At 35.1% G+C, this 13,497-nt stretch overlaps 1 long non-coding RNA gene across 1 annotated transcript in view, besides 1 other annotated feature; it reads left to right on the top strand.

The window, feature by feature from the left end:
- Positions 1 to 13,497, top strand: part of LINC02864 (long intergenic non-protein coding RNA 2864) — a 110,441-nt gene that overhangs the window by 73,897 nt on the left and 23,047 nt on the right. The window lies entirely within an intron of this gene.
- Positions 534 to 828: an enhancer, noted in NCBI's record as "tiled region #3365; HepG2 Activating DNase matched - State 9:DNaseU". NCBI's record gives its function as "activates a minimal TATA promoter and a strong SV40 promoter by Sharpr-MPRA in HepG2 cells {active_cell/tissue: HepG2}" and the evidence as "EXISTENCE:reporter gene assay evidence [ECO:0000049][PMID:27701403]".

Raw genomic sequence — 13,497 nt, 5'->3', positions numbered from 1 at the left:
CACTTTCATAGATTTCCAAAATAATGGTGAGGATCGATATATAGCAGACAGGTTTCCACTGAGAATTACAAATTTCAAATCTGATCAGTTAATCGAGGGATTCCTAGGAGACAAAGTAAAGTTAGCTTTCGAGAAATCAAGAAAAAGCTTAGAACCAGTACCTGACTTACCCCATTATCACAGCCAGAGACCTTAGGCAGAAGCTCAAAGGGCCTCTCAGTGGAACCTACTCTTTACAAGTTTCAGATCTTAGACCAGGGAAGCAAGACGGCCTTGAGTGGATATTGGAGAAACCACCAGATTGTTCAACTCCCCTAACATATCACTAGAAAAACGGTTAATAAAGCTCAACTTTAGAACTTACTACTTTTAGAGACGAGAACACCTTGACAGTTTTTACAGTGTTAAAGATGGGGGGAAAAGTCAGTAGGTTAAGGCATCTCTGTCAAGGCAAGGAACTAAGGAACTAATTAGAATTTGGCAAATTTTTGTACTGTTCCGGATGGGTGAAAACTGCCAAGTGAGGGTCCTGAACCAAGTCTTGATCAGAGAATGGCTTGGCTAAGTTGGAAAACTATTGTCTCTGACAAATGGATCAGGAAACATTTCCTGAAGCAAACAATAAAGTTATTTGTTCGTTTCCAGTCTTATCTTTCCCAGGTAAACTTTGCCTGGAACAAGCAAATAAGTCATGTTGACACTGGTGGTTATGTCATGTTGATGTGAGTCTTGTTGACATATATGTTGTCTGTTGTCAACATGAAAAAAAAAAAATCCTTCCTCAGTCTTTGTATTTCCTATTCTGATATTCTGAATTCTCGAACCTTATTCTTCTCCATACTTCCATCTCCCTCTTTTGTCCTCCTACCTGATTGGTTCTTTCTTGCTTATACATGTATTTCACCACTTCACCTAGCAGGACCCTGGAAAGTCTTCAGTCTTTTAAATTATCTCACAATCCTGGCTATACTTTCTCTTCATTTACTAACTCATTAATTTTTCAGATAATAACAATCCAAATTCGATCTCTTCTTTGTTAAACTATTCCCTGCTCATCAGATATGTGCCAAGTTTTTTAATTGATTGGCAAATTCAGAGACCAAAGGTAAGTATCAGTAGAAATATTAATTTCAGCTATGTGTAATTTAAGAAATAATCACCTTCAACAAGCAGTATATAGGTAAAAGTTAAAATAATTAGAAGTTTTAAATAAATGTTCAGAAGCCAATTACATAGATTACATTACAATATTTCAAAAACAAATTGTAGTATGGAAATTTTACATATCATGACTCTACTAGACACATTAGTTAGAAAGTTAACTTGGAAGTGGGTCCTTCAGCCAAGTACTAGAGTCAGAGATGTTAGATGTTTGTCATTAAATATGGTAAAAGCAAATATTGAAGTACCCTTCATGGGTCATGTTGCTACCTCTTTGGGGATGTGGCTTTTTACTCTGGTCTAGTAATACCATTTTTCTGAAGGATACAGTGTCAGAGCTGATGATTAAATCAATGAGAATAGTTAGTTGAGGAATGAGTTTGGTGGGTCAGAAATTGGGGTTTAATGAAAATTCCAGCCAGGTGTGGAGGCTCACACTTGTAATCCCAGCACTTTGGGAGGCTGAGGCGGGTGGATCACCTGAGGTCAGGAATTCGAGACCAGCCTGGCCAACGTGGTGAAAACCCATCTCTACTTAAAATACAAAAATTAGCCAGGTGTGGTGGCACGCGCCTGTAGTCACAGCTACTCGAGAGGCTGCAGCAGGAGAATCGCTTGAACCTGAGAGGTGGAAGTTGCAGTAAGCCGAAATCGCACCACTTCACTCCAGCCTGGGGTACAGAACGAAACTCCATCTCAAAAAAAAAAAAATCACACTGAAGGAAAATCATGAAGAAGGGCAGGAGGAAGTAAGTGTGGAAGAAAAAAAGAACTTTCAAAATTAGTGTCACTGCAGTTATAAATTTCCGGCAGAGTGTTTCTAGAAATGAAATCGAGAGTAAGTCTTCCACCAGATATGGATCATGTGGTGCATTAGTCTGTTCTCACACTGACATGCAGAAATACCTGAGACTGGGTAATTTATAAAGGAAAGATGTTTAATTGATTCACAGTTCCCCGTGGTTGGGGAGGCCTCAGGTTACAATCATGGCGGAAGGCACCTCTTTACAGGCAGCTGGAGTGAGAATGAGTGTCGAGAGAAGTGGGAAGAGCCCACTATAAACCATCAGATCTCGTGAGAACTTACTCACTACCACAGGAAAAGCATGGGGGAAACTGCCCCCATGATTCAATTGTCTCCACCTGGTCCTGCCTTTGACATGTGGAGATTATTATAATTCAAGATGAGATTTGGGTGGGGACACAGAGTCAAACCATATCATATGGCGTGTTCGACATTCTCCTGCAGGCTTTGATCAACCATTGATGACTTATAAGCAAGATAATGACATTTAAGAGTAATGTTTCTAACTGCAATGAGAGTGTGCAAAGGCAGGGTTTCAGGGCCAACACAGGGGGCCAATTTAAGAGGCTGCTAAAATAATGTAGGAGAAGATGACAGCACATCCTGAACCAGAGAGATAAATGGAGAGGAGCATTGAAAAGGAAGGAAGAAATAGGATAATGTTTGTAAAAGTAAATTCAGGAGGACTTGATGAATTGTTTGACCTGGATCTTGCAGAAAATAGGGAACTAAGAAAGTGTTCTCATCTACTAGATTTTGATGATCCCAATTGTAGTTACCAATCAGAGGTGAGTTTGGCCTTTTGAGGATGATCATCACTGAACCCTTTGACCTTAGGGATTTAAATGCATTTAAGGGAAAGTTCTAAGCAAGAGACAAAAGAAATGTGTACAAGAGAAAGAGGGAGCAGAGGACTGCAGATGAATGGAGAGCACTTTAAGTAGAGAGATAAAGGAAGTAGGAAGCAGAGATGCACTATGCAATTACTTAGAAGTGGAAGGATGTTTAGGAGTTGGGGATGTTGAGCTTGTATTTACCGATACATTTACCGATGATTTCCGCATAAAATCATTATTTTTCTCATGATGGAAAGAACTGTTACAATTGAGAATATCACCTAAGGATTGAGATGATCGAATAGTTGGGCAACTGCTGTAATATGGGCTCGGGAACAGAGACAGACTATGAGCCAGGCTGGATAGAAACTGTGCTGCATGCATTGGTGTCTTCCTCTTGGCTTGAGCTTGTCCATTGTGCAGCAACAGATGGTTCTTACCTCTGAACAGTAACCTTGACATGTTGAAATATTAAATGATAACAAATATCTTAGTACCTTCCTTACAAATAATAACACAGGATAGGTACACCCTAATTGTTAATTGATTATATATATAACATAAAGCTTAAATGAAGCATTTTGGGGGAATGTTGTGATAATAATAGCTGATATATTTCCATTTGGAAGGTTAAAAACACCTTGATAATCCGTGAGGACAGAAAGCAAGAGCTGAAGAGAACAAAGTACGAAAACAGTGAAAATTTTAAAGATTTAGATGTGTGGAAGCAGATAGACACATAAGGAAGTATTCTGTAGCAACTCACAGTCATCGGTGGAAATTTTGAACTAGTAGAGGATACAGAATCAGATTCTTGCCAAATGTATTCAGTTATATGAGGAATAGAGAGTTGATGTCTGCGTTACATAAACAATTTTCCTGTAACAGTCTCACTTGGGAATGGAGTATACCAATGATGTTATTGTAGACTTGGAAGTGGCAACAAATTAAATTGATCATTTTAAATAATTAATGTAATGTGAATACTATAAAATTTACAGAAATTGGATAGTCAGTATGTGAATTAAAATGTTAATGTTAGGTGAATATTATAAAATGTACAGAAATTGGATTGTCGGTATGTGAATTAAAATGTTAACAGTGCATTTGGGTGGAAATCTTGCTCTTGAATAATCTGCAGATTTGAAAATTGAAAGGGTCATTCCAGCAATTCTTTTGTTGCAGTACTCATTGCTTCTTCTTCTGAGTTTGACTTTACTAACGACAGTTTCTTTAATGTTGGATGTTAAGGTAAATAATTTTAATGTATGCATAATCAGTAGTACTATGAGACAGTTAATATATCTGCTATAAATAAACCAATTCTTTTCTGATTTGTAATTTAAGAAGCAGATTGAAATTGGCTTTCCAAAATGAGTCAAGAAAATAAACCTGAATCTCAAAGAAATGAGTGCCCTGAGGAATAAACATAATTCACATGTTGAAACGTTTCTGAAAGTTTTTAGAGTAATAGAGGCTATTTGAGGGCCAAAATACATATAAAGAGATCTTTAATATCCTAATTTATTTTCATGAAAGAGTTAATGAATCTCTAAAACAGTAAACAGTTCACAACGTTTTGGGGAGTAGGTTTTATGCCTTTTAAGCATAATATAAATGGAAACTTGTTTATTTTCTATAGTCAAGCAAATGTATTACATGCCACTGCTAATGGGAAAGACACTTATACACTTGCCTAAACAGCAATTCCATTCTTTAGGAGCAATGATAAATGTTCTTTCTTTTGAATGAGATTTAGGAATTACTTGACTACAAACCATTCAATCTAGTATTATTAATTATATAGAGAATTTCATGATTTCATGGAATTTAGATAGCCTTGCAGGAAGATTTGTGGTTTAGTAATGCACTGACAATTAGCTAAGAAAGGTATCATGTATATTTGGTCCCTGTTTCTAGACATCAACCTCTGATACATTAGAAACATGAAGAATAAAAAATATATTATTAGTCATTTTGGGACGCTAAAGATGTCTTCTTTAAAGAATAGAAAACATTTTTTCAAAAAAGAGGAATTTTATAATAAAATTGATTTTATAGCAAGACTGAAGTATCTAAAGGCCTTTGTGTATGATAAGTTGAGCTACTTCAAATAAAAAATTAGAAAATGGTAAGAGTTAATAGTTGTTCCTTAGAACTGGATCTCTTTCACTTTAGGATTTCCATAGCACTTTGGGCTTTTCTTGTAGTACATATTAATTTATCTATTGCTTTACATTTATTTATTCTTGTCTTGCCACTTTAAAGAACATTTGCATCTTTTATATGCAATGACATATAACATTGGCTTTAAAGAGGCCTAAGTTAAAATCCTTGGCTGATGTAATGAGAATCCTTGTCCTCAGTGTTCATGTTTAAAAACATGGGAAACATGGGAAAACATGGAAAAACAAAATCTTGGAGAGGTTTTCTTGTCATGAAGTTAATTAAGGTAAGCACCGTAGGAAGCGCCCAATGAGAAATGCAAGCTATCTTGGTCGTTCTTTATATAAATCTATTATCAATACATCAAGAATGCCTCTTACATTGCATTAATCATTGCCCAGAGGATACTAGAAATAAATTCATAATAATGTAACTTGAGAGTTAATGTATGTCATTAGGTTTAATGGATTAGAGCATCACTTAATGAAATGAACAGATATAGGATACGCTTTATCTTTAAGAAATGATGATAAAATAATATATTAATAGGTTTAGACTTAGCTGTAAATAATAGAAAACAAAACTAAAACAGAAGTGACTTAAATAAGTTAGAAGCTTATTATTATCTCCCAGAGAAATTCAGAATTAGGTGATTCAGCGCAGGCATGGTATTACACGATGTCAGAGACTCAAATTCTCTATCTTGTTAACCTCCATTTAGGCCTCCATGCCAAAATGTCATCTCATGGACCAGAATTGCTGCTCTAGATCCAGCCATTATATCTGCACTTTAACCAACAGAAAGTAAGAAAAGAAAAAGAAAAGCATGTGCCCTCAATTATAGGGCAATACTCTTAGAAACCTATTGGCCAGAAGTTAATTCCTTAGCTAAAAGGAAAGCTGGTAAATATGGTAAATTTACCATTTACCATATGCAAAGATCAAAATCAGAGTTCTACTACCAAGCAGGCTGAAAAAATAAATATTGGCAGATTTTGGGCTGTCACTGTGATGTATATATTATCGTATGAATAATCTACATAAAAATATTTAAAAATAAATTTTATTGTGTATATTTGAGATTTACAACACGATGTAATTGAGACACATATAGATAGTAAAATGGTTACTATAGTGAAGCTGATTAACACAGCGATCATATCACAGTTGCTTTTTTGTGACAAAAGCAGCTAAAATCTCTTTATTCAACAAAATTCTCTAATACAATAAAATGTTATTAACTTTAGTCCTCATATTTTATATTAGACCTCTAAACTTGTTCATTCAATGTATCTGCTATTTTTCATCCTTTGACCCAAAGCTCCCCATTTCCTCTCTCATTCCTTTCACTATATATATATATATATATACACACACACACATATGAGCCCAAATATATATTGTTCATATAAGTGAGACCATGCAACATTTTTCTTTCTTATCTGGATTATTTCACTTAACACCGTGTCCTCAGAGCCATCTCTGCTGTGGCAAATGTCAGGGACCTCTTGTTTTTTAAGGCTGAATAATGTTTCATTGTGTATATATAAAAATTTTCTTTATTCATTAGCTTATTGATGGACATTTAGGTTGTTCCCATACCTTGGCTATTGTGGCTAATCCTGTACTGAACATAGATATGCCAACATCTTTATGAGATGTTGATTTTAATTCCTTCAGGTATATACCCAGAAGAGGAATTTCTGGGCCCTATGGTAGTTCTATTTTTAATTTCTTTAGGAACCTTCATACTGTTTTCCATAGTGGCTATACCAATCTACATTCTTATCAGTGGTGTGCAAGGGTTTCCTTCTCACCATACCCTCACCAACATTTGTTGTTTTCTATCTTTTTGATAATAGCCATTCTCACAGATGTGTGGTGCTATCTCAGTTATTTTAATTAGCATTTCCTTGATGATTAGTGATGTTGAACACCTTTCATAAATTTGGTGGCCAATTTTATGTCTTTTTTGGAGAAATATATCTTTGAGCTCTTTGCTCATATTTTAATGGGGTTGTTTGTTTTTCTCCTATTGAGTTGTGTTCTTTATAAATTTTGGATATTATCCTCTTATCAGATACATGATTTGCAAATATTTTTCCTGGTTGTAGGTTGCCTTTTCATATTTTAAGTTGCTCCTTTTGCTATACAGAAGCTTTTTAGTCTAATGTAGTTCCATTTACTTATTTTTGCTTTTGTAGCCTGAGCTTTGGGTTTCACATTAAATAAAATTATTACAAAGGCCAATGTCAAGAATACTTTCCTTTATGTTCTCTTCTAGGTGTTTTACGGTTTCAGGTCTTACATTTAGGTCTTTTGTCTATTACGAGTTGATTTTTGTGTATGGTCTAAGCTAACAGTCCACCTTCATTCCTTTGCATGTGTAAATCCAGTTTTCCCAACACAATTTATAAAAGAGACTATTCTTTTCCATTATGTTATTGTGATGCCCTTGTCAAAAATTGCTTAACCATATAGGTTTGGATTGCTTGTTGGGCTTTCTGTTCTGTTCCATTAGTCTATGTTTCTGTTTTTATGACAGTACCATAATGTTTTGATTACTGTAGCTTTGTAATATAAACTTAAATTAGGAATAAAGCCTTCAACTTTATTTTTTTTCTTTCTCAGTATTACTTTGGATATTCGGAGTTTTTGTGGTTCCATACACATTTTAGGATTGTTTTCTTCTATTTCTATGAAAACTGCTGTTGAAACTTTGATATGGATAACCCTAAATATGTATATTGCTTTGGGTAGTATAAATATTTTAACAATACTATTTCTTCTCACCCATGAACATGGGATATCTTTTCATTTATTTGTGTCTTATTTGTCTTATTTAATTGTTTTAGTCAATGTTTTATACTTTTTAATGTTCATATCTTTCACTTTTTTGAGTAAGTTGATTTGTAGTCATTTTTTATGCTTTCATAAGTGGGATTTTTAAAAAATTTATTTTCAGCTAGATCATTATTTTGGTATAGAAGTAGTACTGATTTTTGTATGTTAATTTTGTGTCCTGCAATTTTATTGAATTCATTTGTTAGTTCTAGCAGTTCTGGGGTAATCATGGCATCTGCAGATAGAAATCATGTTACTTCTTCCCTTCTGATTTGGATGCCTTTTATTTATTTATCTTGTCTGTTGCTCTTGCTAGGACTTCTAATACATTGTGAATGGGAGTGATGAGAGTGGGCATCTCTACCTTGTACTGGATCACAGTGGAAAGTTTTCAGTTGTTCCCCATTGATTATGATGTTAGCTGTTTTTTTTTGTTGTATGTGTGTGTGGTTTTGTTTGTTTGTTTGTTTGTTAGTAAATAAATGGCCTTTATAACGTCGAGGAGCTTTCCTTTTATACCTAAACTGTTAAGAGTTTTTATCAATAAAGTAGGGTGAATTTTGTCAAATGATTTTATGTTAATTGAGATGACCATGTGGTATTTATGTTTCATTCTGTTAATGTGATGTAACGTATTGATTGATTTGCATATGTGAAACCAATCTTGCATGCCAGGGATAAATCCCACTTGATCATAATGTATGTTTTTGATGTGTTGTTGAATTCAGTTTGCTAATATTTTATTGATAATTTTTGCATCAATGTTTATCAGAGATACTGATCTGTAGTTGAATTTTCTTGTAGTATCTGTCTGGCTTAGATGTCACAGTGGTGACACCCTTGTAAAATGTACTTGAAAGTTTACACACTACCTTCTTATTTTGGAAGAGATTAAGAAAACTGGAAATAATAATTTTTTGTTAATGTTAGGTAGAATTCAGTCATGAGGCCATCTGGTCCTGGGCTTTTCTTTATTGGAAAGATGGTAGCTACTTGTTGGTATGATTTGACTGTGTCCCCACCGAAATCTCAGCTTGAATTGTAGTTCACATTATCCCCACATGTTGTGGAAGGGACCTGGTGGGAGGTAATTGAATCATGGGGTGGTAACCTCCATGCTGTTCACCTAATAATGAGTGAGTTCTCATGACATCTGATGTTTTATAAAGGACTTCCCTGGCCCCCTTCGCTCTGCATTTCTCATTCCTGCCATCAGGTAAAGAAGGACGTGCTTGCTTCTCCTTCTGCCATGATAGTTTTCCTGAGGCCTTCACAGCCATACAGCACTGTTAGTCAATTAAACCTATTTCTTTTATAAATTACCCAGTCTCCGGTGTGTATTAGCAGTGTGAGAACAGACTACCACCCTTGTTCGGTCTTTTTATGTTATTGGTCTGTTCATGCTTTCTATTTCTTTCTGATTCAATTTAAGTAGATTATATTTTTCCGGGAATTTATCAATTTCCTCTAGGCTATCCGGTTTGGTGGCCTATATTTGATCACAATAGTCCTTTATGACTGTCTTCATTTCTGAGGCTTCTGTTGTAATGTCTCTGCTTTTTGTTTCTAATTTTATTTATTTGAGTCTTGTCTTTTTTTCTGTTATTCTAACAAAGATTTTGTTGATTTTGCTTAGTTTTTCAAATAGCCAACTCTTTCTTTAATTGACTTTTTCCTATGACTTTTCTGTTCTCTATTTTATTTATTTTTGTTCTGATTTTTATAATTTTCTTCCTTCGCTAATGTTGGGATCAGTTTGTTCTTTGTTTCTAGCTCCCTGAGGTATGCTATTAGACTATTTACTTGGGATCTTTCTTCTTTTTAAAAGTAGATATTTGTTGCTGTAAACTTTCCAATTAGAAGTACTTTTGTTGCATCCTATAGGTTTTAACATGTGTATCTATTGTTGTTTGTCTTAAGATATTTTAAAATATCTCTTTTGGTTTATTCTATGCCTTATTGGTTGTTCAGGAGCTTGTTGTTTAATTTCCTCATATTTGTGAATTTTCCAAGATTCCTGGTGTTACTGATTTCTAGTTTAACACCATTGTGCTCTTGGATTTGTTAAGACTTGTTTTGTGGCCTAATATATGGTTTACCTTGAACAATGTTCCCTGTACACTAGAAAACAATGTAAATTCTGTTGTTGTTGGATGGAATGTTTTATATCTGTCTGTCAATGTTCCATGTACACTAGAAAAGAATGTATATTCTGTTGTTGTTGGATGGAATGTTTTTAATCTGTCTATTTGGTTTGAAGTGCAGTTCAAATTTATTTCCTCTCTGGTTGATCTATGCAGTGTTGAGATAAACACTTCAACGATAAAACTGAAGTCTCCTACTATTATTGTATTGTTACCATTGCTATCAATCTCTTCTTTTATGTCCATGAATATTTGCTTTGTATATTTAGGTGCTCTAATATGTGATATGTATATTTATAATAGTTCTGTAGTTTTAATAAGTTGACCTCTTCATCACTAAACAATGACCATTTTTGTTCCTTGTAACAAAATTTTACTAGAAGTTTATTTTATTTTATATGATATAAATATAGCCACCCTTGCTTTCTTTTGGTTACTAATGACATGGAATATTTTCTTCCTTGCTTTCATTCTCAGGTTATTTGCGTCTTTAGAGCTACAATGGATTTCTCATAGGCAGAATGTAGTTGGAACACGTTTTTGTATCCATTTATATTCAGGTTATACATCTAGGTTATATTTTTCTGGGAATTTATAAACTTCCTCTAGCCTATCGAATTCAATGGCATATAGTTGTTTATAATAGCCTGCTAGATCATTATGATACAATACTCCAATGTTAGAGTGTCAGAATCATAAGGACCAAAGAGTTTGAAAGGAAAAAAAAAATACAATGTTTAATGGAGTGCTTAATATGCATCAAGACTTCTACTTACATTGGGAACAAAACTCTAGCAGTTATCTGCTCCTTTAAATTCTCCATTTTATAAAAAATACTAGCATTTAGTGACCTTTTAGTCACTCTGTATGTTTTGATTGGCCAGTTTATTCATTTATATTCAAGATTATTATTGCTAGATAAGGACTTATTCCTTACTTTTTTATTGTTTTCTGGTTGTTTTATAGATCCTTTGTTTCTTTCTTCCTCTCCTGTTGTTTACCTATGTAATTTAATTAGTTTCTGTATGCTAAGTTTTGATTTCATCTTTCTCGTTTGTGAATGTACTGTAATGCTTTGCTTTGTGGTTACCATGGGGCTGATCTAAAACATCTAAAAGTTATGATAGAGTATTTTAAGCTGATTACAACTAACTTCATTTGCATATAAGTACTCTAGCCTTTCTTTTCAAACGTATAATTTTTATTTTTGTTATCACAGTTTACATCTTTATATATCACGTGTTCCTCAGTAACTTATTGTGGCTATAGTTATTTTTGACCATTTTAACTTTTAACATTCATACTAAGATTTGAAAGATTTACATACCACCATTACAGTAATGGAGTTTTCTAAATTTTATTATGAATTTACCTCTACCAGTGAGTTTTATACTTTCATATGTCTTCATGATAGTAAAACTTACTCTCCTTTTGCTTCAGACTGTCACACTCCTTTAAGTATTTTTTTGTAACACTGATCTAGTGGTGATGAACCCCTTTAGCTCTTGCTTATCTGGGAAATATTTTATTTCTCCTTCATTTCTGAGAGACAACTTTTCTGGGTAAAGTATTTGGCTAGCAGGTTTTCTTTTTTATTTAGCAATTTGAAAATACCATCCCATTCTCTTCTGGCTTGCAAAGTTTCTGCTAAGAAATCCACTGATAGTCTAATGAGAATTTTCTTATATGTCACTTTGTGTTTTTTCTTGATGCTTTTAAAATTCTCTCTTTGTCTTTGCCTATCATCATTGTGATTATATTGTGCCTCAGTTGTGACTTCTTTGGGCTGAACCTATTTGGGGATTTTTAAGCTTTATGGGTCTAGATATGCATATATCTCCCAAGTCTTAGGAAATATTTTGCAATTATTTTGTTAAATAAGCTTTCTGTGCCCCTCTCCATCTCTTGATTCTCTGGAATTTACATAATACAAAGATTTGTTCACTTATTGGTGTTCCGAGAATCTCACAGGCTTTTCTTCGCTATTTTTTATTCTGTTTTTTTTTTTTTTTTCCAGCTGTCTGGGTTATTTCAAAAGATCTGCCTTCAAGTTCAGATTTTCTTCTGCTTCATTTAATCTGTTGAATCTCTCAATTGTATTTTTTATTTCATTAATTGAGATTTTTCAGCTCTAATGTTACAGATTGGTTCTTTTTTAAGGTATCTATGTCTTTGTTAAATTCTTATTTGGATCATAAATTGTATTTGATTTTATTGAAATAAATTTTATTTTTGATATTATTCTGTATTCTCTTGTATCTTTCTGAGTTTCCTTAAGATCGTTATTTTGAACTCTTTTTCAGAAAACTTGTAAATGTTCATTTCTTTGGGGTTAGTTACTAGATCATTATTGTTTTTCTTTGGTGGCATCATGTTTCCTTTTTTTTTTTTTTTTTTCATATTTCTTGTATCCCTGTGTTGATACCTGTGCATCTGGTAGAACCATTACCATTACCTCTTCCAATTTTATAGAGTGGCTTTCACAGTGAAATGCTTGTATTTGCAAATGGGTTTTAGAGGGTTGTTTGGTTAGAGTGCATTGGCTCTGATTCTAGCTGGGTACAATAGTGTAGTCTGTGCAGCTTCTTCGGGTTTAATCAACATCAGCAATGACTGTAGGTGCCTCAGTGGCCTAGGCTGTGGGAGTTGGTGGCAGCAGTTGTGGCAATATAGATTGTTAGGGTTCTCAGTGGGAAGGACTTTAATGATCTTCCTGGTCTCATTTTCTACACAGTGGGGAGACTTCTCTGAAGGGATCTCTTTTGGTATTAGGTGTTACTTGGGCCACAGGCAGCCGAACTGATGCTGTGTTCCAAGGCATAGGTGTTCAGTGTGGTGTGGAGCTGGAGTGCAGGGCTCAGTGTCTTGTTTAATTACTGAGGCACCTGTGACATGGATGCAGGTTTACTCTCTTAAGTTTACATGGATGCAGCTCTTCCACCAAGCAGACTAAGAATCTGAGATGCTCTTCGGTAGCTTAGCCCCATGGGGCAGAGCTACAGCTGTTACTCTGATTCTAGAGGTCAAAGTGCAACACTGGCATGGCTCTGGAGAGGGAGGCCTGTTCCAGAGGTTTGGGCCTGGGGAAGCAGGGCACATTTGCACTTTGGAAGCCAACAAAATACAGTGACAACTTGGTTACCAGCAAAGAAGGTGCTGCATATTGGTGACTCTGGACTCTAGAATGGTAGAACACAGCAGTGCCCCAGTTCTGTGAGGCTGAGTGTGTGACAGCAAGGGCTCAGAGGTCAAGGAACAGTGCAACGTTAGCTACACTCCCCAGGGATGTGGGGCACCTCAGCAGCTCAGACCCCAGGGAGCTGGCCCATATCCAGAAGCGAGGGTGCTGCTGATTGATACTTGGCCCATATGGCACTGTGATACAGTTTGGCAAAATCTATGTCTCCCTGGGCATTAGGCGTCACATAAGCTCAAACACCAGGGTCATGGCTGCTCCCCTGGGCCAAAGCTCCAATCCCTGAATCCAAAGCACTAAGCTGGTTCAGATGCTGAGGTGGCACAGCTTCTCTACAGGCTCAGA

The sequence above is a fragment of the Homo sapiens genome, chromosome 18, assembly GCF_000001405.40.
Source record: "Homo sapiens chromosome 18, GRCh38.p14 Primary Assembly".
NCBI classification, from domain to species: domain Eukaryota; kingdom Metazoa; phylum Chordata; class Mammalia; order Primates; family Hominidae; genus Homo; species Homo sapiens.
This window is presented reverse-complemented; position numbering and strand designations above follow the sequence as displayed.